At 46.3% G+C, this 26,748-nt stretch overlaps 1 protein-coding gene across 2 annotated transcripts in view, besides 1 other annotated feature; it reads right to left on the reverse strand.

Annotated features, from left to right (window-relative positions):
• Positions 1–26,748, reverse strand: part of ASIC2 (acid sensing ion channel subunit 2) — a 1,143,682-nt gene that overhangs the window by 273,227 nt on the left and 843,707 nt on the right. The window contains exon 1 of one of the 2 annotated variants that reach the window (NM_183377.2): positions 5,095–6,982. The exons of the other annotated variant lie outside the window; for it this stretch is intronic. Within the exon in view, the coding sequence (NP_899233.1) occupies positions 5,095–5,802 (708 nt within the window). The 5' untranslated portion in view covers positions 5,803–6,982. Of the gene's footprint in view, positions 1–5,094; positions 6,983–26,748 lie in introns of those variants that run through there. 2 annotated transcript variants of the gene reach the window in all.
• Positions 6,009–6,179: a silencer, noted in NCBI's record as "fragment chr17:31619340-31619510 (GRCh37/hg19 assembly coordinates)". NCBI's record gives its function as "represses an EF-1alpha promoter that drives an FKBP-Casp9 reporter gene in an ReSE screen in K562 erythroleukemia cells {active_cell/tissue: K562}" and the evidence as "EXISTENCE:reporter gene assay evidence [ECO:0000049][PMID:32094911]".

The raw sequence follows: 26,748 nt of genomic DNA on the forward strand, positions 1-26,748 counted from the left end.
CAGGGAGGAGTGGCTTCTCATAGAGTTAGGAACAGGGTGGCAGCTGGGGTGTTTGGGACACAGATGAGGTCTCTCTCCACAGTCTAACAACCAGTAGTGAAAGAAGTCAGAGTTTTGCTGCAAAGTTCAAAAACTTTAGTTTGGTCTCCAGGCACCCACTACATAATTGCATCGTCACCCCTCAGCCCAGCTCCCATCTCAGCACATCCAGTCCCTCCCTCCAGCCACCCTGAACTAGGCGCGGGGCCTAGAATGCATGTGTTCAATCTCATTATTTCATGTCTCTGAACTCTTGCAATGGACTCCTGTCCTCTCACCCTGAAGTCCTCTTTCTCTCCTTTTCTACTTTGGAGCTTCTACTTATCCTTCAAGATTTAGCTGAGATACCACCTCCTCCAATAAACCATCGAAGATCCCCAGTCTGATCCTTGGAGCCCACACAGCACCTCTGTACGCTCCTGGTATCTATTCACACACCTCTGTCCTCAACATCACTGAGAGCTCCCAAAGGGCATGTACCAAGCCTTATTTAATTTTATACCCCCCAGCAGCTAGTACAGAAACTTAGTATATAGTTGACCTTCAAGAGACATTGGTCGATTGAATGAATGAACTGGAAAATGAGAAAATGAGCATATATCTCTACTCAGGTAAGTGGTCATAATATGATATGATAATTATATGAATAGTAATTATGAATAGTAACTATGAATACTATGAATACTATAGTAAATATGAATAGCAACTGCTACCATCAGATGTCAAGACACTGAGCTGAGCACTTTATCCACATTATGATAATGGCTCTTGAATATTGAGCACCTACTGCTGTCCAGGCATGTGCCAGTTATTGCTCATATGTTATCTTCACCTCAGATCTCCGAGGCAGGAATTATTACCAGAGGCTCATGGAGCAAAGTGTCTGTCCAAGGCACAGAGCTAGGAAATGGCAGCACCAAAGACCCACGCTGAGGTCTGCCTGGCACTCTCCCCTGAACCATGCCATCTGCCAGAGAGAGAGCCATTGCTCCTTGTTCCTGCAGAGGACCTCAGATTGGCCTCTGTTGGTTTCTGTTCCAACCCCCTGGTTCTTCTTCCAAAGCCCCAGTGCTCAGATAGCTCTGCCTCACTGTTTTGCATCCCACCCAATTACTGGGAAGGCTCCCTTCTTCTGGCCCAGGAAACCCCAGAAGGGCCAGAGTGTGCAGAGCTCAAGTCCACAGCTGATGCCAGGGAAACAACACAGGCATTCAGAAGCCAAGCTGCTTTATCTGACTGCTGAGAGATTAACTCTTGCACAGCTGCAACAAAGAGAGGAGCTGCAACTAAACACATCTCGAGTGGGCCTAGAGGATAAGACCCAACAGACACCCCCCTCCCCTGCCAGGTTTCTTTCCAGACCATGGGACTAACTGGCTGAAATGGGACTTAGGGACAGCTGGCACTTCCCCCCAAAGGCCTCCTCTAGAACTCCATCTCTCACCTGTTGCTCTAGTCCTCTTAGGATTGGGGAGCACAGGTGTCTGGGGAGTGCTTGGCATCTTGTTTTCTACTTTCCCTTCTCTGTTCCCAAAAGGAATAAATGCCCAGAAGTGGCCTGGTTCTCACTGAAATACATTTCACTGGTGTTCTCTAGAGGAATTAAGCCAGGAGCCTTGTTGCAGGCTACACAAGACAACAGGGAATGTTGGGGGTACCTGATGGAGGTATGCATTCCCCAGTCCTTTCCTGTCACTACTTGTCAAGCTGTCTGTTGGGTGCCGGAGGCAGCAAGTACATCAGATATGATTCCTACTCTGGTCTGGAGGGGGAGACAGGCACAGTCTAACAGGTGTGATGACATGTGCCTGTGTGAGGATTGACATCTAAACAGGGTGGAAGAGGGGCAAGAAGGGGAAGGCATCAGTTGTTTGGTGATGTGGCATAGATGCAGCAGGTGGTCAGGAAAGGCTCCAAAGCAGGAGAAACCCCAGAGCTGCCTGTTGAGCAGGCAGGTGTCCCCCAGGCAGACAAAGCAGCATGAAAGGGGAGTTACAGCAGCAGCGGAAACCAAACCAAGCAGAGGGGCTTGAGGAGCAGGGATTCAGCTGTTGGGAGCTGTTCTGTAGACCTTGAGTATATGGTATGAGGGAGGGTGTGGCAAGAAATAAAGCAGGACCAGGTGGAGGGTCTGAGGAGCTCAGGTCTTAATCTGAGGACAGCTGAACCACTGAAAGGTTTGAAGAAGGGAAACCATGTGCTTTGAGCAGTGCTTTAGAGACTACTCTGGCTGTAAAGCAGACAATGGGATGCAGGGTGTTGGCTGGGACAGAGCTTGAGGCCAAAAGACCAGTTAGGAGGCTGATGTGATTGAAAGGAAGCATTTCTATAGGAGCTCAGCAGAGTTTTCAGAGCTCTCTCTGACACACACACACACACACACACACACACACACACACACACACACAACTAATATGGTGTATACAGTATTGTTATCTCCATTAGATGATTTAGGAAACTCAAGAATAGAGAGATTAAGTCACTTGCCCAAGGGCACATGGTAAGTGGTAGACTCAGAATTTGAGCCCAGTCAGTGCAGCTTGAGAGTTCATGTTCTCAGCCACTACACTTTGGTGCCACTCCATCAAAGATGACAAAGGCTAGAGACAAGGCAGTGTGGTTAGAGGAAAATATTCCTGACAGGCCTGCTGTATATTTGGGGCTCCCTGAAATAGCTTCTGGCTTCTACAGACAGAGGGGTGAAGCCTTTAATTCTGAGGTCCTTGGAAAAACCTACAGCATGCAACTTTAAGGGGCTGGATACTCCCAGGACTGGGCCATGATAGGAAGCCACTAGGGGTCACCTGAGTCTCCAGGAACACATACCTTTGGGGAATGGAGGTAATACTTTTGCTTGGATGTGTGTGTGCCTGCAAACTCTTCAAACGCAGGGACTCAGAGTACAGGGAGGTAAGAGAAGGGTGTGCCCCAGTGGGAAGGACCTTACTGTCTTCAACTCCCTAACAATTGACCCACACAACTCATGGCCATGCCTGCTGCAGAGGTTGAAGTCAGGTGGCTCCTGAAGGGACTGTGTCCTCTGCATGCCACAGGGACATGTTGCCAAGACTCTGATGACCTGGGCCACATGGGGTGGCTCCACTTTCCACTCTCCCAGCTCCTAGGAGGGACAGGATTCCTAGGAGTAGAGGTGGGGGAGAGGGCAAGAGTCCTGTGTAAGTCCTCTGAGAGAAGAGAGGCCCAAGGTCAGAGAGGAAGGGTACCTGTGGTTTCTGTGTAATGCAATTAGTGGTATGCAAAGTTGGACTTTGAACTTGCTGGCTCTGAGCATTGGACAGCTTTTTAGAGCTTCATTTTTCTTATTTTAAAAATGGGAATAAAACTCATTAACGCAGGGCTGCGGTGAGTATCAAAAGTGCATAGTGGCTGTTAGAATGCAATTCCACACACTTTGCAAAGCAATAGTCAGATTTTCAGAATTACATTTGATGGGCCATGCTGTAAAACTTGGAGCAGGAGCGAGGGCCTGTTGCTACTTGGATGTAACCTTGAACTTTAATCTAACTCTTGAGGCTGCTAATTAGTGATCAGCAAAAAAAACAATAAACAACAAGAGATCGCTGCCCTCATTCCTTCAGCTTCGTGGAACTCAGAATTGTGCTTGGAGTCCTGGAAGAAATCACTTAGAAGCATATGTTAACAGCATCTCCTACTTGCCAAAGCAGGGAGCCATCAGGTAGATATTCTTTAAAAGCCAGCTGAAAATCTCAGGAAATAAGGAATGTTTTCGGAGTGGATAATTCAGGGCTACTAAATATACAAGCTTAAAGCAAAGCCAGCAGGACAAGATTGAAGCCAGGATTGCCTTCCTAGACAAGGAATAATCCAATCAGCCAATGAGAGACCTGGTCTGACCGGCATCATGCCAACACTTGTTGGAACCGTGGCATCTCTTTACCATCCCAAAAAAAGCTTTGTCAGAAATGAGGATCTCAGGAGTGATGAATCAGATCTGGTAAAATCACCATCATAGCACTACCAATAAACACACACACCAACCTTCCCTGCACTAGTGGAAAAGCCCAAACCCACCTAAGGGACATTTACACACGAATGGCTGGACAGGCATGCATCATGCTGGGGCCTGGCACCAGAACTCCTCCAAGGCAGACTGCACAAGGCAGATACCTTCTGTCCAACAGCTGCGTTATCCAGACCCACAGCGTGGGGGAACCGGCACAGCAAATGGTTTACAAACCCTAAGCACAGCTTCTCCTGGCCGCGGCTGTTTGCATCCACATGCCTGCTAGGATGCTTTCTCAACTCCGGAGCAATCCTCCAGACCAGAAGACCCACACTTACATTTTATGGGGGACGGAGGCCAGGTGAAGGGCCCAACCCTGGCGCACCACTGCTCAGTTCCGCTGGATGCTCAAGACTCCTGCATTTTGAAAAAGTAGCCAAAGCATGCTGCTGCCTCTCCCACCAAACTGTCTACAGCTTCAGTGTTGGTTTTCTGGGAGTTTCCTCACAAGTTCTCCTAGATTCTAAGTGTTTGGGAACTTTGAAGACATAAGCTGCTTCGGATCGTAGGCCTGCTTAGGGACTCTGCGTGATTCCCCTGATGATCCATTTTTCAAGCGCTTCCTTTTTTTTTTTTTTTTTTTTAAGAGCCGTCTATTGGTTTTCCCAAAGACAAGAAGTCCGCACTTAAGAGATCTACACTCCAAACACAGAGCAGTTTCTTGGAGTCCTGAGGGCCTGGAGTTGAGGTCGGGAAGAAGGAGGCTGACTAATATTCACAGACGGGACCATAAGGAGTAGAATGAGGGCTTTGGGGGCTGACACTGGAAGGAGGGGCTGGGACAGGGGAGCTCCCACTGGTGGGAGGCGACTCCTCCTACAGTTAAGTCCAAGTTCCCACAACCTGCAGGAGAAGACTCAGGGGACCCAAGAATGGGTTCTGCCTTGGCATCGTGGAGTGGTAACACTGCAAGAGGCCTGGGGACAGCCCCGAGGGGGCGGAACACCAGGCCTCCTGACTGCCGGGGAGTGGGGCGCAGAGGGAGCGGGTTCGCGCGGAGGGCAACTCACGGAGGAGAAGTTGTGCGGCCCGCAGAGCTCGCCGCGGTACTTGCAGGAGAGCAGCATGTCCTCCAGCTGGTGGCCCAGGCGGTCCATGAAGGCGGCGCTGATTCCCTCGAAGTGGCGCGGAGGCAGGAAGAGGCGGAAGTCCGCCAGCTTGCGGAACCACTGGCGGCGCGGCTCGTCGCCCCGCAGCAGCTCGCTGACAAGCGGGCGCGCGGTGCGGTTGGGCAGCAGCAGCCCGAGCCAGTGGCCGGCATAGTAGAGGTCCCCCTTGGAGAGGCGCGGGAAGCGCAGCGGGTTGTTGTTGCACACAGTGACGGCGGGGAAGGGTAACTGGCGGCTCCACTCGCGGTGCACCCGCGTGTGTGACGGGAAGCTGAGCCAGTAGAGCAAGCGGTTCGAGGACCAGGACAGCAGCAAGCCGAAGGATGTACAGAAGGCCAGCACCCACAGCGCCCGCCGCTGGAAGGAGCCCCCAGCCGCCGTGCGCCCGGCACACATGTGCCGCAGCCCGTGCAGTTTAGCGCGGCTCAGCGATGGCCGCCCCCTGCGGGCGACCCCTGGCCCCTGCAGCGCCCGCTCGCCGCCTCTGCCGCCCCCGGGCTGCCCGGCAGCCGCCAACGCCGCGGGCGCCGGCTCCTCGCGGGCCATGCGGAAGCGTCCCGGGCCGGTGAGCGCGGCTGCGGGCAGCCCGGCTCCGCCAATCCGGCTCATTCATTCAGCCCGCGGCTGGCGGCAGCGGCGGCGGCCCCGGCCGGGCGGAGCCGCCATGGGAGTCCGCAGCAGCAGTGGAAGCAGCAGCAGCGGCAGCCGCGCGCAGCCCGCGCCAGGGAAGCGTGCGCCCGAAAGGAGCTCCGGTGGCGCGGCATGCCCGCCCGGCGCCGCCGCTGCCGCCTCCGCGGGCGCCCGCCCGGGGCTGAGCGCCGCCTCAGCCCGCAGCCCCTGGCAGTGGCCTCTCCCGAGCGCCTCCCAGGCTTTCCCGGCCCCTGGTCTTCCTGGAGGATGCCCGGCGCCCGGCACTACTTCTGGAGGGGTCCCACTGGGAGCCGCCTCTCCAGTCCCTGGGTGCTGCGCCCGCCTTCCCTCGTCCTGGACCTCGGGGGACCCTGAGCCGAGTCCCCCCTGCCCCGCCTAACCCCAGCTTTTACGCTGGTCCTGGGAGAAGGGCCACTCGGCCACCATGCCTGATCTGGACATCCCCAGGGACCCCACCAGCCCGGCCCGTAGCCCAGCGGTGCTGGGACACGGGAGAGAAGGCGCCAAGGAACGAGCGCCCCCAGAGGCGCACCGCGGCTCCTGGCTGGGCGGGCGGGGTGGGTGTGTACGGGGGTGAGTGGTCGCCTTGCCGGCTGCCGCCTTCTTTCCCTTCCCCTCCAGGACCCTTCCTTGTTACTGCTCCCTGGGCTGCGCTCGGCAGAGACCTGCTTAGGCTTCCCCAAGTCCTGCGCCTAAGTCCTGCCAGGCGCCCGCTCTCGCCTGGGGCTGAGAGCTTCTCAGGGCGTCCTGCGGGAGGCTGTTCGCCGCCGGGGTCCTTCAAGGATGCTAGCCGCAGGGAAGTGTCGCTTCTCGCCTCGGCTCTCCCAGGTGCCTCGCGTCTCCAGAAAAGCCCAGCCTTGCTGTCTCTCGCGTCTTCTCTCTGCCCCCGCGGCGACAAGAGCTGGGGACTGCGGGGACCCGCCAACACCTCCCGGGGGTGACCCGGACTCGCTGCTCCGCGCGCCCTTCTCCTCTCGAGACTCCGAGCTCGCGGTGGCCGTGACGCCGGCTAAGCTCCTTCCCCGGTTGCCCGGGAGAACCCTCTTTGGGCCCCAGGCGAACTTGGGCAGCGGCCGCGCGACGCTGGCGCGGCTGGGCTCCGAGCACCTGCTCCTCAGCTCGCTGGCCCCGCGGCTCCGGGCGGGCGGGGCGGCGGCGGCCGTGAGCGCCGTGCGCTCCTGGAGACGCGGTGCTGACGCGCCCGGCTCCTCCTCGCTGCATTTTAATTCCTGGCCACTGTGGCCGCTGCACACCGAGCGGGAAGCCTCTTGCTGGAGTCGGCCGGGTGCGGGGGTGGGGTGTGGTGGGGAGCGGGATGGGGATGCGCTGTACAGATGTGCTCAGGTGTATGGGCTTGTGGGAGAGATAAGTAGTATAACCATTGTGCTGATGTGGCCCCAGTGTAGACAGGGGTGAGAGGACTCCTGAGGGTGTGAGATGGGCTGTAGAGAGAGCGAGTTGCTGTGTAGTGTGGGCATTTGAACACGATTGCGAGTGTGGTGCCAAGTATTGGGTGTGCGTAGGATGTGCATTGTGTATGTGTGAATGGGCATTTCTGTGAAACTCTTGAATGTGAGCATGTCTGCGGGTGGCGTGCTGTGGCCATTAGAGTGTGGTGCATGCAGGATGTAGTGTCTATGGTGACGTGTATGTTCCGTGTGTGTATGTGTGCACTTAGTGAGTCCTGGGTTTGAAATGCATGTGTTGATGTGTGGATGGATATCAGGGTTTCTAGATGTGGTGTGTGGTTGGTGTGTTTTGTGTGTGTGTGTATGTGCATGTGTTGTATGTAATGAGTATGTGTGTTGAGGCATTGCGAGCAGGGTAGGCTCAGTGCGACAATCCTCCCCTCAGCCTCTTAGGGACATCCCATGTGTGTCCCAGCCCCTTCCCTGGAAGTGCCTACTGCTCAGCCCTGGCCCAGTCTGCCAAGCACAGCTCTCCAAGAGGGTGGGAAGGGGGAGTAGGACTTCCAGGGACAGGAGACTCCATCTTTCCCATTCCCCTTGCTGGGACAGGGAACACTTGGAGCCCCATTACTCCATGAGATAAAGGGGTTTTCCAGACATTATCCGGAGAGTAGAATTTGGTGGTGGAGGCAGTGTGAAGGGACTCCAAGGGTGGGAGGATGCTCCAGTGGAAGAAGGACCAACGTGTGTATCCTTTGGGGAGAGGAGGCTTGGGGAAGCAGAGATTTGGGTGTGGAGAGGAGTTTTACCGTCTTTGTAATGATGAATTAGGGGCAATTTGGCCAGATCTGTTGAATGAGCTGTGGGTTTCCAAGCAGGAGAGAAGCAGTGCTGGGATGGGCTTTCCCTCCCCACTGACCTGAGGGCACCCTTACAGCGTGATGACTCCCTGCATCTGGTCTCTGGAGAAGAGGACCTCTGAGCCCCTCATTTCCCACTCACCCACATACATACATCCACACAGTCACACATGTACAAGCACACATATACACAAACACACACACACACTACACATACAACACACATATACATGAACATACATGTATACCAACATATACACTTAAATGCATATATACCCAATGCATACTGCATACATACATACACACAACACACATACATATACACAACACACACACACCTGGAAACCCTTCTCACTCATCTGGGGAAAAAGCTATTGCAGTTGGGCATTGATGACAGTTTGCTTTGGGTTTGGTTGCTTGAAGATGTCTGTTGCTGGCTTTGAGGGGAGGGTTCTGAAGCTGCCTGCTGTACTGGGGCCTCTACCAAAGGCTCATACTCCAGTGCTCCCAGCCTGGTCTCAAGGGTCCTGGAAATGCCACAGTGACCCGTGTCTTGGCCAAGGTGGGGTGACCTAGTGACCTCAGTGCAGTTACTGATGAAGCAACCAGGACAAGCATGTGCCATCTTCCAGCATCATAAATCTGGAGTGGCATGAAGCTCTATTTTATAAAAGCCTTTAAAACATTTTGGGTTTCTGATGTGTTCAGCTGTTGTGGGCTTGCTCTTTCCTAGCTATTTCCCCCTTGAAATGTACATGTGCTACTTTTGATTGACCAACTGTCTTCTCTGCCATGGGATTTCCTGTGAATTCTCCAGATGGTAGCTCTTTCAGGGAGAGGAGGGGTATCCTGCTTAGGCCTCAAGGGGCCTTGACACAGAAATCTAGAGAAAGACACACGGGCAGCTAGTGACTCCAAGCAATGATTGATGGCTCTCTTTATGGCACATGTATGCAGCACATTCTCTATGCAACTTGAAATACTCCCACCCTCTTCTCTGACCAGTTCTTTGACCAGCCCAGTGAAATTCTGTTCTTTCTTCAAATCACAGCTTATGCATTGCCTCCTAGGTCAAGGTTTCCTTGATTCTCCCAGACAAACTTGGGTCATGTTTTTCCTATGATCCCAGCATACCTTGGAAGATTGATACCTCTAGGATAGCCCTTATCATTGTTTGTGTCCAAGCCTTTCTGCTGGACTATGACCCGTTTGCAGACAGGGACTACACCTCCTTCATATTTGTATCCCTACCTCTTAGCACAGTGACCTAGCACGTTGATGAAACACTGTTACCGGGGAAGAGGAAAAAGGAGCTAGTATTTCTTGAACAACTACTATACGCCAGGTACAGAACTAGGCACATAAATAAATGTTATTTAATTTCTCACTCCAACTCTGCGGGGGAGGTATTTTGGCCTTTTTTATACACTATTTGTTTTTTAGGGATGAGGGTCTTGTTATGTTGCCCAGGCTGGTCTTGAACTCCTGGGCTTAAGCTGTCCTCCTGCCTCAGCCTCAGAGTGCTGGGATTACAGGAGTGTGCTACCATGCCTGGCTATTTTTACCATTGTTGATGCAAATCCTTGGTGCATGCACAGGATTTGAATCCAACTCTAACTCATTTCAAAGTGCAGGGCTTCCCCCCTCCATCATACTTCCTTACAAAATTATATTATTATGATAATAATATAAATGTGGGACTTCCTAAGTGCTAGGGCCTCCTGTAAGTGTTTTACACTAAAAACAAGTATCATACATGCTCTAAGTGTTTAATCCTCAAAATGAGGCAAATACCATTTTTTCTCTACTTTAAAGAGGAGGAAACTTTAACCACAGAGAGGTTAAGTTACTCACTTTAAGCCACACAGCTACCAGTCAGGAGAGCAGGCTTTGCCCAGGTAGTCACTCCATCCCTGTGTTCTCCAGCCCTAGTCCACGCTGCCTCAGTTCTCAGAGGTACTTGGACACAATAGCTCCTGTGGATTAGTGTTACCATCCTGGAAGACTCCCTTGGCCAGAAAAACAAATTCATGAGGCAGAACAGGGGTGACCCACATAACCTCTCCACCAAGAAATTAGCATTTAGCATTGTGATGTGCCAATCATAAGTTTTTAGGAAAATTTCCCTTGTTTATCTCTGAAACATCTGTTCACCATGCCTGGTGTTCTGGCATTCTGTGTGATGTTGTGTGCAGTGGCAGGAAAGTCTTCTGGCCAGCCTGCCCTCATTCTGGGGTATAACCACCACCACCACCACCACCACTGATAAGCTGTTTTCTCTCATTAAATGAATCTGTTGGGAGGGGAGATCAATGTAAGTGAACACGGTTTTCTGTTTTTGTAATACAATTTTCAGAGCTGACACTTGTGTGGCTTGATCAGGTTTCACTGGATCCCTCAGTGTTCCTGTTTACCTGCTACTCAGAGGCTCAGAATTGGAAAGTATCTGAGATACTACCTAAGCCTCCTTCCTGCCCACTGTAGGAATCCGTTCAATACATTCCTTCAGTGACAGTGTAATCAATTCTATTCTGGAACATCTTGCTGTGTTTAAAGCTTCTTCCTTTCATCAGATTGAAGTCTGTCTCCATGTGAATTTCTCCCATTTCTCCTAATTTATCCATGGGGACCCACACAAAAATAACTTTGGTATTTCTTTCACATGGAAACTCTTCAAACTCTTTATAGAATCAGAGCACGTTGATGCTGAAAGGGGTCTAGCAGTCCACCTGCTAGTGAAGTCCTCAAGACCATCCTTTCTTCTCCAGGCTAAATGTCACCAGTTCCTTCAACTGTTTCTCCTGTAGTTTTTGCTCTTGAGATAGGCTCTTGGGTGTGAATCTCCTCGCAATGTGATCCTCCAGCCCTGTGGAGTATAAGCCTACCAACCCTTTTACTCTTGATCTGGTACTTCTAGCTCCTGATATTTCTGCGGGTGGTTGGGGGCTCTTGACCGTCCCCTTGCTTCAGGAATTTCATGGAGGTGGTGGGTGGAGAGATGAAACAGCAATGATGGGTTCTTGGTGTGCTGCTTAGAATGCTGTATGCACTTTCTTTTAGGGCTGTTATGCAAATGGTGATAAGAGCCACATTACTTTTAATATTAAAATTCACTGGCCAGGTGCAGTGGCTCACGCCTGTAATCCAGCACTTTGGGAGGCCAAGATGGGCAGATTGCTTGAGCTCAGGAGTTTGAGACCAGCCTGGGCAACATGGCAAAACCCTGTCTCTACAAAAAACACAAAAAATTACCTGGATGTGGTGGTGCACGTCTGTAGTTCTAGTTACTCAGGAGGCTGAAGTGGGGGGATCCTGAGCCTGCAAGGTCGAGACTGCAGTGAACTGTGATCATGCCACTGTACTCCAGCCTCGGGCATCAGAGTGAGACCCTGTCTCAAAATAAATAAATAAATAAATAAATAAATAAATAAATAAATAAATAATAAAGTTTATTGATGTTATGAGGCACATGGGCTTTTGTGGGGGTAACTGTGACCCTAAATCAATCTCTTTTTTCCCCTTTCTCTGCCTTTTTTTTTTTTTTGGTCTTATTTCTGTAGTTTTCGTGGCTCTGTGTCAGTCTGCCTCCCTCTCCCCTCCTGTCTTTCCCTTCTCTTCTTCTCTTCCCTTTTTCTCTCTCCAACTCTGCCTGAAGCTAGGGGTGCTCTCTGATACCTTTTTATTATTTATTTATTTATTTATATTATACTTTAAGTTTTAGGGTACATGTGTACAATGTGCAGTTTTGTTACATACGTATACATGTGCCATGTTGGTGTGCTGCACCCATTAACTTGTCATTTATATTAGGTATATCTCCTAATGCTATCCCTCCCCACTTCCCCCACCCCACGACAAGCCCTTCCTGTGTCCAAGTGTTCTCATTGTTCAGTTCCCACCTATGAGTGAGAACATGCGGTGTTTGGTTTTCTGTGCTTGTGATAGATTGCTGAGAATGATGGTTTCCAGCTTCATCCATGTCCCTACAAAGGACACAAACTCATCATTTTTTATGGCTGCATAGTATTCCATGGTGTATATGTGCCACATTTTCTTAATCCAGTCTATCATTAATGGACCTTTGGGTTGGTTCCAAGTCTTTGCTCTTGTGAATAGTGCCGCAATAAACATACGTGTGCATGTGTCTTTATAGCAGCATGATTTATAATCCTTTGGGTATATACCCAGTAATGGGATGGCTGGGTCAAATGGTATTTCTAGTTCTAGATCCTTGAGGAATCACCACACTGTCTTCCACAATGGTTGAACTAGTTTACAGTCCCACCAACAGTGTAAAAGTGTTCCTATTTCTCCACATCCTCTCCAGCACCTGTTGTTTCCTGAGTTTCTAATGATCGCCATTCTAACTGGTGTGAGATGGTATCCAAATCATGAGTGAACTCCCATTCACAATTGCTTCAAAGCGAATAAAATACCTAGGAATCCAATTTACAAGGGATGTGAAGGACCTCTTCAAGGAGAACTACAAACCACTGCTCAACGAAATAAAAGAGGACACAAACAAATGGAAGAACATTCCATGCTCATGGATAAGAGGAATCAATATTGTGAAAATGGCCATACTGCCCAAGGTAATTTATAGATTCAATGCCATCCACATCAAGCTACCAATGACTTTATTCACAGAATTGGAAAAAACTACTTTAAAGTTCATATGGAACCAAAAAAGAGCCTGCATCCCAAGTCAATCCTAAGCGAAAAGAACAAAGCTGGAGGCATCACACAACCTGACTTCAAACTATACTACAAGACTACAGTAACCAAAACAGCATGGTACTGGTACCAAAACAGAGTTATAGACCAATGCAACAGAACAGAGCCATCTGATACCTTTCAGTCAATGCTACTGGTGGCATGTGGGGCCCTAGAGGTGGCCAGTGTTATAGCATCTAAGCAAATGTCCAGGAGTCATGATGGGGACACCTGTACTGGTGGAAGGAGAGAGAGGACTTCTCCCCTGCGGTTTTACTCATTGCACATGGATATTCCTACACCCTTCCCTTCCTTCCACCATGGAACTGGCACTGGAGTTGTTGTTCCTTCCTTCCTTTCATGTGCTTCAGCATCTCCACTGCCTTTCTCCCTCACTCTGTTTTTTTTTGTACACGCTTGGCCTCACCTAATTCTCTCTTTTTCTGGGGTCTTTTTTAGATGCACCAAGTGGTTTTTTGCCCTTTTAGTCATTCTCATTTTACTTGACTTCAAGCTCTCAGCTCCCTTTCTTCTATCACAAGCAATTCCCAGGTATAAGAGGTCAAAGAAGGGGCCATGACCACCAAAAGAAAGAACGTGGGCTAGAAGGACCAGGTCCAGAGTAAAAGGAGCTAGGAAGCTCATGCTCCACAGGGCTGGAGGAAGTGTGGCTGAAGCGTTGTGGTCCCTGCTTAATGGAGAACCCTGTGAAGTGGGAGCTGGGTATAAAATATAATTTAACCCTTTCACTTTCAGCGGAGGAAGTCAAGGTCCAGAGTTGGGAGAGACTTGCTGTAAATCACACCGGTTGATACTGATAAAGGGCACAACCAGAATCCAGGTTCCAACTTCTAACTCATTCTCTGCTCACCCTATGAGAGGATCTTTAAAAAGAATCCATTTTGAAATTGGTAACATATTCACATGTTTCAAAAAACACAAAAGAGTATCTAGTAAAAAGTTTCTCCACCCCATCCCCAGCCCCCACAGCCACCCAGTTTTCCTCCCTGGAGGCTCCCAAAGCCATCAATTTCTTGCGTGGTCTTTTAGAGATACTTTATGAATATACATAAGTGTACATAGTCTTTATATGCCCTTTTTTTCTACACAAATGGTTGCAGTCAGTGAATGTTGTTGACTAAAGTAATTGTATTTCATGTTCTTCACACCTTTTTTTTTTCAGTATTTTCAGCTAGTTTATGGTTGCCTTCCTTTGGCACCTCATTTCAACTTCTGTTATTTTCCTTAACTTCTCATTTCCCATTATCCTGTTTTCCCATCCAAAAAGGACAGCAGGTCCTATGACAAGGTGGTACACAAGCTTGTCATCTTATGATCAGATTTTCCCTTAACCCTTTGCTAGATACCCTAATGGATGAAAGCTCTCATGTGGATAATCTTAAACAGCAGGTTATGCAGATATTTCTGTTTGCCTCTGAAGTGCATTATGTTGTGTATTTGCATAAGATTTAATTTTCTTGTCATATTTTTCTCAGGCTAATTATAACACACGCAATTGAATGTCCTAAGCACACAGCTCTTCTTGGTCTAGGAAGATGGTCCAAACATGCCTTGGTTGGCAGAGAGATCCAGTTTAGGATTCAGAAGTTTCTGTAACTAACATTTAGAGTGGGTAAAACATAACAGGGAGAGAACCAGAAGGTGTTAGTGCAAAAAGTCATCTTAACGAGCATGCAGTTTAACTAAGATAGGAAATTGAGGTAAGTTTAGTGACTTGTCCCTGGTCACTGAGAAGTTGACATAATGAAGATGATGAGGATGATAATGATATTTGATAGTTGACATTGATTGAGCATTATCTGTAAGGCACTGTGCTCAGTGAACATGATTTAACTCATTCTTTTTATTCATTTATTTATTTATTTATTTATTTATTTTAGAAAAAAAAAATGATGTCTCACTCTGTTGCCCAGGCGGGAGTGCAGTGGTGGTGATCTCGACTCACGGCAACCTCCGCCTCCTCAGTTCAGGAGATCCTCACACCTCAGCCTCCCAAGTAGCTGGGACCACAGGTGTGCACCACCATGCCTGGCTAATTTTTTTTTTTTTTTGTATTTTTTGGTAGAGATAGGGTTTCACCATGTCATCGAGGCTGGTCTTGAACTCCTGAGTTCAAACAATCCTCCTGCCTCGATCTCCCAAAGTGCTAGGATTGCAGGTGTGAGCCACCACGCCTGGCCAGACTTAACTCATGTTATCTTCACAGCAACTCTATGAAGTATGTCCCACCATTATAGCTCTTTAACATGAAAGGAAACTGAGGCAGAATGTGGATAAGTGACTAGTCTGTGGCTGGGATTCAAACTCAAGTAGTTTGGCTCTAGAGCATCAGACCTTAATTAAGGTGGCTGGAAATTAGCTGAAAGTAATGACTATAGTGGTTATTTATTGAGCAGTTAATGGATGTTGGGCACTGTCTTTGATGTTGAGAATACAAAGTCCACTTAGATGTGGTCCTTGCTTTAGCTCTCAGTTTAGTGGGGGACATGAGAAAGAAAATATTAAATATTCATATGAAATGTTAATTATTAAAAGGCAATTTAAATAAAGCATGATAAATGCTTTATCAGGGATGAGCACAGCATGCTGGGAGGGTCCCAGGGAGAGGTCTTTTTCCCTCAACTGGTCTGAGAGCCATTGCCATGCACTTTCTCTGTTTTCTCCTGAGTTTCTCCATTCATTCCCATGTTCTCACATCCACTAACAGGGAATCCTGTTACCTCTGCCCACGAGGCTCACCTGGGAGCCAGGATCTGAGACAGGCAGAGGCAACAGCAGCACAGCTTCTCCTTCAGATGTCCAGACCCTCTTCTTCTTCAACAATGTCCATGTCCTTCTCCTCACAGGGGTTTGGTGTTCCTGAAGGTGTCTTGTTGACTGGTGGCATCTACTTTCTAAGTTCGGGCCACCTTCATAATTAATGTCTCCTTCCCTCAGCATCCCTTGCCTATCATTGCTTTATTATCAGTTTAGATAACTGAGTTTTGGTTGCAGCATTGGCTGTGGTCATAACGTTAGCAGAGAAATGGAGTCTTTCTTGCACACTTTTCTACCCAATTTGCTGTCCCATACACATAACAAAACTCTCGTTAAAATAGTTAAGCGTAATAACCTTCTCCAGCAGTAACCATCCACTCATGTGACGAAAAGATATGCAGCTAAAATAGGATTTAATGAAATATAAAACCCAAGGTAGAATGAGGCATTTTATTCACAATTCCTTTACTGTCCCCTTAACTGTCTTCAGTCATGACTTAATCATGGCTCTCACCTGGCTCTCACCTCTGCTTCAGGGAGCACTCACTAACCAGCTCCTAATCTGTCTTGCATACAGGCCCTCTGCAGTGGCTTAGAGATTTAAGGCCAAGCTGATGTGTCAAAAGCCTCCATTCAGGCTGGCTGCATTTCCTCCTAGCCACAGCTCTCCTGTCTCACCCACTAAGGGGTTGTTTACTCTCTTTCCCTTGTAAAAGACCTGGCCAAACCACTTCCTCTGGTTTCTCTACTCCTAGTTTATCTTCCCTGTCTACCCACAAGAAGAGCAGAAAGGAAGAGTTAATATATTCTTCTGCAGTCCTGTGGACCTGTGTGATTACCCAAACAGAAGGGAAGGGGAAGAGAAGGCAGGGGAGGGAAGGAAGTTAACACAGAGTACAGCCAGGTATCTACCAGGTACTATTATGGGCATCTTGGAGTGGTTTCTCAGGACAACTCTGTCAGTTGAATAATATTATCCCTGTTTTACAGATGAGGACACAGAAGCTTTGTCTTTCCAATTCTATTCTCTCTGATTCTGGTTTGAACATAGATTAAATCGTAATGGCCATAATCCCATACTCTAACCATTCACTAAGCACTTACTAGAATCCAGCACTGAATTAACCCTCATTTTTCAGGTGAAGGAAATGAGTCTCAGAGAGGTAAAGTTAACTGCCTGGGGTCACACAGAATGTGCCACCCAGGTGGCAGAGCCAGGATTCCAACTCAAGTGTGATTCCAACATATTGGTAATTATTAGAAAAGCAGAACACCCAGAGTTTAGAAAGAGAAAAGACAAAGTGGGTGGTGGCATAGTTCAGAGTTTTGCAAAAACCCTTGGGGGAGATGAAGAAAGTGAAAGCAGAATTTTTTGGGGCCTGAAGTGGGTTCTCAGTAATCTGCTGTAGATCTGGGAGCTATGTTTTTCCGAGCTTGGGTGTAATGTCACCATCGGGACAGAACTAAAACTATACGAGCCCACTTGTAGGGAAGAGGTTCAGGGAGGTACCCATAGGTTCAAGTACCAGGCTTGGCTAAGTAAATTGCAGAAGGCCACACAAAAACATTTCCTCTTTCAACATCGAAGTGACATTACACACCGACAGCAACTACATGGCCACAAAGTAGGAACACATCTTTACAAACCACAGGGTTTCAACCTAGCCCCCTTTGTCTCCCTTCCTCCATTCCTTTCTTTTCCTTCTCCCTCTCACTTTTCTCTTTCCTTGCTTGTCTCCCTTCCTTTCAGTTCTTCCTCCCTTTTTCCCTCTTATTTTCCCATCTACCCTCCTTCCCTTCCTTTCTTCCTTCTTTCCTTCTTCTAGACTTCAGCCTTGCTTTCTCCTTTTAAATCAATACTTTCCTTTTCCCAGCAGTGCTTACGTTTATTCATTCAATATTTCTCAGCAGCCTATGGCACTAAGACACAACATTAGATTCAAAATGGTTTTCTGAAAATTCTTGGAGTTATAAAGGCAAGTGCCTAACATTGGTAAGTAATAAGAGCTATGAAAAAAAACAGTTCATACCCTTTGACCTAGTGATTCCATACCCTAGGGTTCCCCAAGGAAATAACCTCAAAGCAAAGTAAAAGTACAAAATAATTCACAGTAGAGCTTTTCATAATAGAGGGAAAAAATAACAAATTGAAAACAAAACATTTCACAGGTCCAGTAATAGAGGAATGGCCAGGCAAATGATGGTGATACCACGTCATCTGGAAATTATGACACTTTAAGAAAAGAACATGACAAGGATGCCAGTGTTTTGCATTAGATATAAAAAGTACTGAGTAAAAAAAGATCTGAGTCCAAAGAGCACATCCAAGCACATCACAACTTCAGTGAAACATTTCTTTGAACATGAACAATGGTCAGAAGAGAATTTAGGCGAGACAGGGTTTAGTTACAAATAGGTTCTTTGGGTAAAGTTATTAAAATTTTAGGCAAACAAACCAAAATCCAAGCAAGCTTACCAGGACCAAGTTAGGAAAGGTACTTTGGAATTAGAAGACTTTTCTGTCTCTATAAAGTGTTCTTACTGTAATAGGGGCCACTGCATCCTCGGACCTTTTGGTTGACCTGACTGTCCTCCCCAGCCTGGCACTGCCCACCAACCAGTAAAAGTGAGCCACAGATGCTGCTGCCTGATGTGGCTGACCTCATTCCCCCTGGCCTTTGCCCATTCTAGTATGTTTCCTCCTGGCTTTTGACTCCTGGATGCCCCTGCCTTATGAAGCTGTACCAGGATCCCCGCCTTAGTCTCAATCCATTTTAAACACAAAACCCAGCAATGAGTCACATGGTAGATACATGACCAGAGAGTGACCCATAATAAAAACAAACTCAGATGCGAAACTGTCCCCAATCAGGTGGTGTTCCCTTGTGTCCTTTCTGCTTGTAGTGCGTCTGCCGTCTGTTCTTAGTCTCCGCCTGGAGACCTGGTTTGGTGCCCTTGACCCTTGGCTGGATCTCCATAGCTTGAAGGGCCTGAGCATTTTCTCCAGTTACAACTGTGCTTCCATCTTTAACTACGGTTCGAATTTTCTTTGGTGTTAGCACCCGTGATGTGTTTTATTTTCAGTTGAGCGGCAGTATAAGGAGATAAGAAAAATACCCTTTGAGGAATCAAAATGCATGTCACAAAATCCATACTATTAATAGCTTTAATTAATTGAGGCTAGTAACGTGGCAGGCATGGTGCTAGGAACTTTGCATGCATTATTTCATTTAACTCCCACGGTATCCCTAACAAAGTAGATGTTGTTTTTATTGGTACCAAGGAAGAATCAGGCTCAGAGATATCAAATGGTTTATTTCAGATTAAACGCAGATTTTGCTGATATCAAATCCTCTTCCCCCGGCCTCCTGCATTACATGATACAGCCTTCCAGGCACCAGGGATTCCACAGCATGGTTTAAGCATGAGTGAGCCCTTGTATTTTCATGGAGCCTACTTACTCTTACTTTATGCACGATCATGATAACATGCTTGGTTATTTGTTTTTCACACTTTCAGCAGAATAGAAATACTATGTTATGAAAACAAAAAGGCTTAAGACGTAAGAATACTGGTAGCTAGAATGTATAGCCAACACCTGACAACAAAGAAGGCAAAACAACTAAAAAACATAAAAAAGATGTTTAAAATGATGTCATTTAATGTTGGGGCAAACTCCACACATTTCAAATAGTCCCGAATCTTTTAGCCCCAAACAATAGCTGAAACTCACAATGATGATCTTGGGCCATCAAGATTACATTTTGTTCTGTATAATCCGCGTAAGGATATAGGAAAGGACAGGATCTATTGCAGAAGGAATTTCAGCCAAATGGTTTCATTAAAAAAAAGTTGTGATGCTTAAAGGAATAAATAAATCCTTAATTCTTGGACACATTGGCTATTCAGAAAAATGACACTTCTTTGTAAGAGAGTCTGAACAACAATTTCATTCTCTCATTGGCCAATTGTTTCAGCAATCACCATAGATAAAAGCTTCCCTATAGCCATTTTTTCTAATGAGCAAACAGTTATTATTCGATACATGGCTCAATATTCAGAATTGGTTACATTGCAGCCAGTTGGGTTATGTTGTCGATATTTAGTCATTCTATAAAAGGGAATTTCATGGCATTTAAATGTTTCTCTCTCTTTCCTGTTTCTTAAACTAAAAACAATGACAGACCAGTTTTTACCACATTTTTTTCCCTGAAGGAATAAACGATAAAAGAGAAATGGAATTCTATTTGAGAAAACAGTTCTAACGTTCATGCCTCTATCAGAAACATTTTAGGGTTTTGTTCCATAGGACTTGGAATTCTCAGGCGGTAAGTGACAGCAGCATTCTGACTTACAGAGGATGTCAGAAGCTAATGTGTCCTGTCTATTAGCTTCCTGAATGCAAACTTCTCTTGGAGTGTTTTTTCCCCCTAGCCTGTTTTTTTCCATTTCACATACCCACACATTAATACAGAGAAATGTTAAATGTCTGCCCTGCTTTGTGGAGTATTGACAATGTATCCTTTTAAATTTGGAACTGCAGTTTTACTCGTGGGAAGAGGTATTTTGGTCATGAATTTGAAGTCTCTTTTTTATCTAGAAAGCTTGGACTTATCCTCAACTAAGCCCTCACTTCTCCCACATTCCATCCATCACCAAGGGCTGTCGATGCTCCCTCCTAAATCATTCTCAAGTGCATGGCCTGAGATCCATTCTCATCGCTACTACCTTGGTTCAGCTCTTGTTGTCTACAGCCTAGAGCTTACTCTGTTATTATAGCTCTTAACTGGGCTCCTTGTCTTTGATTTCCTTCCTCTCCAATCCATTCCCCACTCTGCCATTGTAATTATGTCATTGCTCTGCTTAAAATCCGTCAATGGCCCTTCATTTCTTACTGTACACATTCATAATCTGTGTGCTGTGTCACACAGTGTGTTACAGGAAATGTAGGTATTGATCCTCACAGCTTTTGGGGCAACGAGGCAGGCTTGGGGCATCAGGAGCCCCAGGGACTACTCAAGATTGCAGCCCTGTCCTTTTGCCCCAGTGTACTGTATATATCTATATATTATATATTTTCTTCTTGAAAAAACTCCAGGAAGTTCTGGGAAAGGCTAGCTTATAAAGCCCTTCTCACCCTGGCCCCATCCACCTACAAGACTCTCATGGGACTTCCTACCCTACAAACGCTTTGCCTCAGCTAGTAAAGCCTCTTGCTTTCCCAACTTAAATCCACATCACATTTTTACAACACTATGACTTTGAACTTGAGGCCTGGATAGTGTTCTCCTTATTTCTTTACCTGGTGGTCTTCTCCTTCTTCTTCTTCCTCCTCCTCCTTCTCTTCCTCCTCCTCTTCCTTCTTCTTCTTCTTCTTCTTCTTCTTCTTTTTCTTCTTCGTCTTCTTTTGATGGAGTCTCACTCTGTTGCCTAGGCTGGAGTGCTATGTCATGATCTTGGCTCATCACTGCAACCTCCACCTCCCACATTGAAGTCATTCTCCTGCTTAAGCCTCCTGAGCAGCTGGGATTATAGGCCCTCACCACCAGTCCTGGCTAATTTTTGTATTTTTAGTAGAGACAGGATTTCACCATGTTGGCCAGACTAGTCTCGAACTCCTGACTTCAGGTGATCCACCCGCCTCAGCCTCCCAAAGTGCTGGGATTACAGGCATAAGCCAGCACACCCGACCTTCTACTCATCTTCTTAGACCTTGCTCAACATTCCCCTTCTCTAAAACTCTTCCTTGCTTCTGCAGACAGGATTAATCACTCCTTCTTTTCTTTTCCATTGCAAGCTGGTGGGGGAACTTGAGGAAGGTATTGAAACTCTCTGAGTCTTAATTTCCTTATTTGAAAAATGGAGATAATAATACCTGCCTTGCAGGGTCAGCATAAAGATTAAATAACACATGTAAAGCATAAAGCACAGAGCCTGACATATAGTAAGTATTCAGTAAATATTTGTTGAATAATAAATGGTGGTTGTTAATATTCACTACCAATCTCTTGCCAGTGCACTTATCTCATAATTGTGCAACGGTTGTTAGCTCCTGTTTTAAGATTTTCTTATTCATCTCAGTGCCATAGGTTCTGCTGTGCTAGGATGTCTTTTCCATGAAGGAAAGGATCTTGAGTTTGTACACTGGTATGTTCTAAATACCTCAAACAGTGCCTGGCACATAGTAGTTCTTTTATAAACAAATTGATAACAGAACTGATAACAGATTTCTTGCCTGGGATAGAAAACTAAGCTAATTAAGGAGAGTGATTCAATGGCCTTCAGCTTATTATTTCAGAAATCTCTAAATTTATGTTTTCTTTCACTGATGGCAAATTTCAATGACCATGCATGATTCCTTTAAGCCACTACATCTTCCTCCTCCCCTCTTTTCAAGGGGAAGAAAACCCTCCCTGAAGTTCAAGGCCTAGGTTCTATATAGTGGACTTGCTTCATCCTGCTTCCAAGACTTTCTGTGTTATGCTCCTTGCTCTTCTACATCTTCTCTTGCCTTAACCAAATCATTTGGACTTCATGGTGGAATCAATGAATCAATCCCTGCTGTACTGTCTTACTATCCTCTCCTCATCTTGCCTAAGACCAGCCCAGCCAGAAACCAAATTCTGGTTCTAGAGCCTTGTTCAGTGCGTGGAATACTGTAGGTATTCAATAACTTTGTGTCATCACTGAACAAACGAATGAATGAAAGATGAATGAAAAAAAGGAAGGGAGGTAGGAGGATAGACAAAATAATAGAAAAGAACAACTCTATTCTTCTGATAGATTTAACCTAGATGACACACACAAAACATTGGTTGAGCTGGTTTATTTCTGGCAAAAGGCAGTACTGCCTACATACCAACAACATTATGAATCACTTTCATAATTAAGGTAAAGTGCCTTTTTTTGTGAAAAAAAAGATGGAATAGGTCACTTCATGGAACTTGTCAATCCGTTCAATGATAACTATCGATCTCCTTTGTCGGGTAGACAGGGTTTGAACTGGCTACCATATGGGGGTTTGGCATTGAGGTAGCCATGTTCTACGTATGTTGAACAGATTTCTCTGATTCCAGGCTGATAAATGCTTGCCACACTGCAACTAGGGATAATGAAGTGGCAACGGACCAATTCTGTTTGATTAAAAAGCTTTCTTCCATTCCCAACGTTTCCTGATTCTGCTGCTACAACTTGGATCTTTTCTCAGATCTTTTTTCTGCCACCAACTCCTTTTTTTTTTCTTTCTTCTCTTCCTCTTTATCTTCCTCCTTTCTCCTCTGCTCGTAGCTCAGATATTGACTTTCAAAATTCTTGGTCAGATGTCGTAGATTGTCTGCAGACACACATCTCTTTTTCTTCATATACCCCATTAAAATGATAGTAAAAGAAGAAAAAGGAGGATTCTTTTAAAGACAAAGATGAGACATCGGTAGATTCAATATTTCAATCCATTTTTGAAAAGCAGAACATAAATGGCAGAAGAGAGGAGCTATGCACTAAAGTGCTGCCCAAGGGAGGTTCCTACAAAACTGAGCCTGAGACAGTTCACATAACAGAATCCACATACCTAAGATGCTTTCTAGGCTGTTGAACTTAGTCTGTCCCAAACTGAATTCATCATCTTCCTCCTTATCCTCCTCTACCATCACCACCACCTTCACCTTCACCTCCACCTCCACTGTCCCCTTCCTCCTCTCTTCTCCTAATGTGTTTTCCCCTCTTGTGGCCTTTATCCCAAAGGATGGCAATACTGTCCACAAAGCTGAAGTACATCCCCGTGTCCATCCCTTAAAACCCCTTGTGTAGACTTCTATTGTGGTACACATCATTTCACAGTGCAAACATGTGCTCCTATATCTGTGTCCCCAGCAGACAGTGTGATCTTAGAGCACATTTTATTCTTGACAGTAATCTTAAATTTGAACACAGTGCTTGGCAGGTGGTAGGCATTAATTAAATAAAGATTTGGTGAAGAAGCTCTTCTATCTGGAGGTTATTTTGTATCTAGAATGCCATGACTCCTCCCCTCCACCCCATGGAGTCAAGCAAGATGATGTATTTATCAGTCAAAAATGGTTTCAAAGTTGAGTAATAGAATAATATTACTACCATGGTATCCTATATTATCAAAGTATATTGTATCCCTGTAATATTAATACTCCGTATTATTGTTATACCATTATTTGATGCTTGTTCATTGAAGCCTGGGTGTTTTGATGTCTCTATGCTACCTCTTAATCCCTTTGATATCCATTTGTATGGCCAGTCTGTGGTGATAAGAGTTGACATTTATGCTTGGGGGCAGGGCAAAGTGGTACTTAGAATACCATCTGGCCTGGGTATCAGGATCTCTAGGGTCATGCCCCAACTCTGCCACTAACTTACTCTGTGCCTTTGTCTCTCCAGGAATAGGTCCCTCATCTTTAAGATGACATAATTTGACTAGATGACCTCTAGGGTTTGTGTTTCTCTAAGACTTATACACATCTAGGCTGATCATTAACCTCAAACTAGAGCAGCTCCAGCCTCGTCTTCAGAGAGACCTTGAGTGCCAAGATTGCCTCCTTAATTCAGGAGATGAATGTGCATTGACGAGGACAAAGGTTAGGGACTGTGGTGCTGATCTGAGGGAATAGCCTGGACTTTGATCCTTAGGCTCAGAACCAAGTAAAAAATGCCTCTGAAGAAGTTGGACACTGACTGTGCAAGGGTTTGATCCTTACCTTGTATCTTCTGCTGTTCTCTCTTTTAATGTTTTTTCTAGAAGGGGAAAAGTACTCATATAGAGTCCAAGACACAGCGTCTTCTCTTGGAACATGCACCTGCTGATTTCAGTGATGTTTGCAGTACACAAGATTACTTGGGGGCCAGGAGGAAAACTTTTCTTATCCAAATATATAGATAGATATAGGTAAGAGATAGAGATACATAAATGTATATCTATGTATATCTATATCTGCCTCTATATCTATCTACATATAGTTGCATTTTTATCTCAGTATAATCTGGTTCAAGGGCTGGAGCTTTCTTGGGAATCACAAAGCCTGATTTTACAGCTTTGGTTAGAGATGCAGACCTAGGTAAACACAGACCTGCCAGAGCCCCTCTGGGTTCAAAAGCCCTGAGGAGGAATGGTACAAAGCTCAGACCCTCTGCAAGACTCCAGTTCCATCCTAGGCTGGAAAGAGAAAGAGAGGGAGGCAGCGCATCCTTAGTTGGGCACCTGCTGTGTGCAAGGTGCCACCCTGGCTGCTTTGCATCTCATCTGATTTTTTCAACCATGCTTCTAGGTCTCTAGGTATGACTGGCCCATTTCATAGATCGGGGGAGTGACATTTAGAGAGTTGAAATAACTTGCTTAATGTTCCACATTAAACCTGGGATTTAAATTCAGGTCTACCTGACTCCAAAGACTGTGCTCTTTCTACTAGATGATGTACCACCCCATGTACATTCTGGTTGCTCCTAGCAATTGTGTGTGTTTGTATGTGTGTGTGTCTGTCTGTCTATCTGTGTGTGTGTGTGTGTGTGTGTGTGTGTAGATGTGTGTAGGTGGTGGAGGAATAGTCAGGGTAGGGGAATGCAGGGCAGCCCAGTTTCTTCTGAGCATATATTCAAATCACAGGTAGGAAACTGCTAATTCTTCATGTACCTGTTTGCTCTGCTAGGAGCTGAGACTCTAGGAGTTTGGGAGATGGAGAGAGAAGTTCTTCTCATCCATGTTTGGGAAGCACAACTCTATGTAGCAGCCCAAGGTGCAGGTAGGAGTGGGGTGGCAGGTATCCCAGAAGGAAAGCTAGAGGTCTCCTTTGAACACAGAGAGGAGACTCTTCCTTGCCATCAGCTCATCCCTAGGCTTCTTTCTTAACCCTGCTTCTTATTTCACATATTTTCTTTGGAGAATCATCTATTTCCCTGGTTTCGACTCTCATCTTTTTCTCCCAAACACCTTCCTCTTGAGTTTCTCAGCAAATGGCTCCACCATCAGCAAATGGCTCCACCATCTCCCCAGCTTTATGTTGCTGCCATATTGAAATACTAAAGCAGTCTTTTCAAGTTCCCCTTGGCCTTCAGAATAAAGTTCCAACCCTGCAGTGGTCTCTGGGAGTGCTGTCAAGCATATAAAGACCTAGGTTTGAATATCGATTGTGCATCTTATTGCATATGTGACCTTGGGTGAGCCATGCAATCTCTCCTGCTTTGTCTCCTTATCTTTAATGTGGAGTTAATAATATTGATACTGTAGATTTCTGTAAATAATGAAATAAGTGAGAGCAATATAGGTAACCTGTTAAACCTGGTGTATAGTGCCTGGTGTATAGTAAACAAGCTTTGAATGGTAGCCATTCTTAAATGGCAGCATTCTAAACTGTTATTGGGACTTTTAGTGGGGTGACACAGGAAGTATCATGGTGTCCAGGTTTCTCTGTAATGAGAGAATTTCATTTCACCATGGATCCAAGTTAGGAAGTGACCTTTCTGCCAAATGTAGTCTGTTGTTCTTCTCTCAAAGCACAGTAGAGAAAGCATCGTGGAACCCACCCTTAGAGCCAATATGGCAGACATCAGAGAGGACCCAGATGCAGATCACTTAAGGTCCGCAAGATCAAGCACAGCAGAACTGGCCAGCCATGCTATGAGTAAGAAGAGGGATGAGCGGCAAGGGCTGCACCTACTTAGCTTTTTGGAGAGAAGTAAATATATCCATAAAGATCACCAAGAAAGAGTCAGTGTGGGCCAGGTGCGGTGGCTCATGCCTGTAATCCCAGCACTTGGGGAAGTTGAGGCAGGTGGCTTACCTGAGGTCGGGAGTTCGAGACCAGCCTGACCAACATGGAGAAACCCTGTCTCTACTAAAAAATACAAAAATTAGCCAGGCATGGTGGCGCATGCCTGTAATCCTGGCTCTTCGGGAAGCCGAGGCAGGAGAATCACTTGAACCCAGGAGGCGGAGGTTGCAGTGAGCTGAGATTGCACCATTGCACTCCAGGCTGTGCAATACAAGTGAAATTCCTTCTCAAGAGAGTCAGTGTGGAAGCAAAAACTCACGATCTTCCATATTGGTGAACAAGAACCTAAGGTGAACAGTTAGCATAAGAGCAGCCCTGGGCTGGTTGCAGTGCCTCACACCTATAATCCTAGTA

The sequence above is a fragment of the Homo sapiens genome, chromosome 17 (assembly GCF_000001405.40).
Source record: "Homo sapiens chromosome 17, GRCh38.p14 Primary Assembly".
Taxonomy (NCBI): domain Eukaryota; kingdom Metazoa; phylum Chordata; class Mammalia; order Primates; family Hominidae; genus Homo; species Homo sapiens.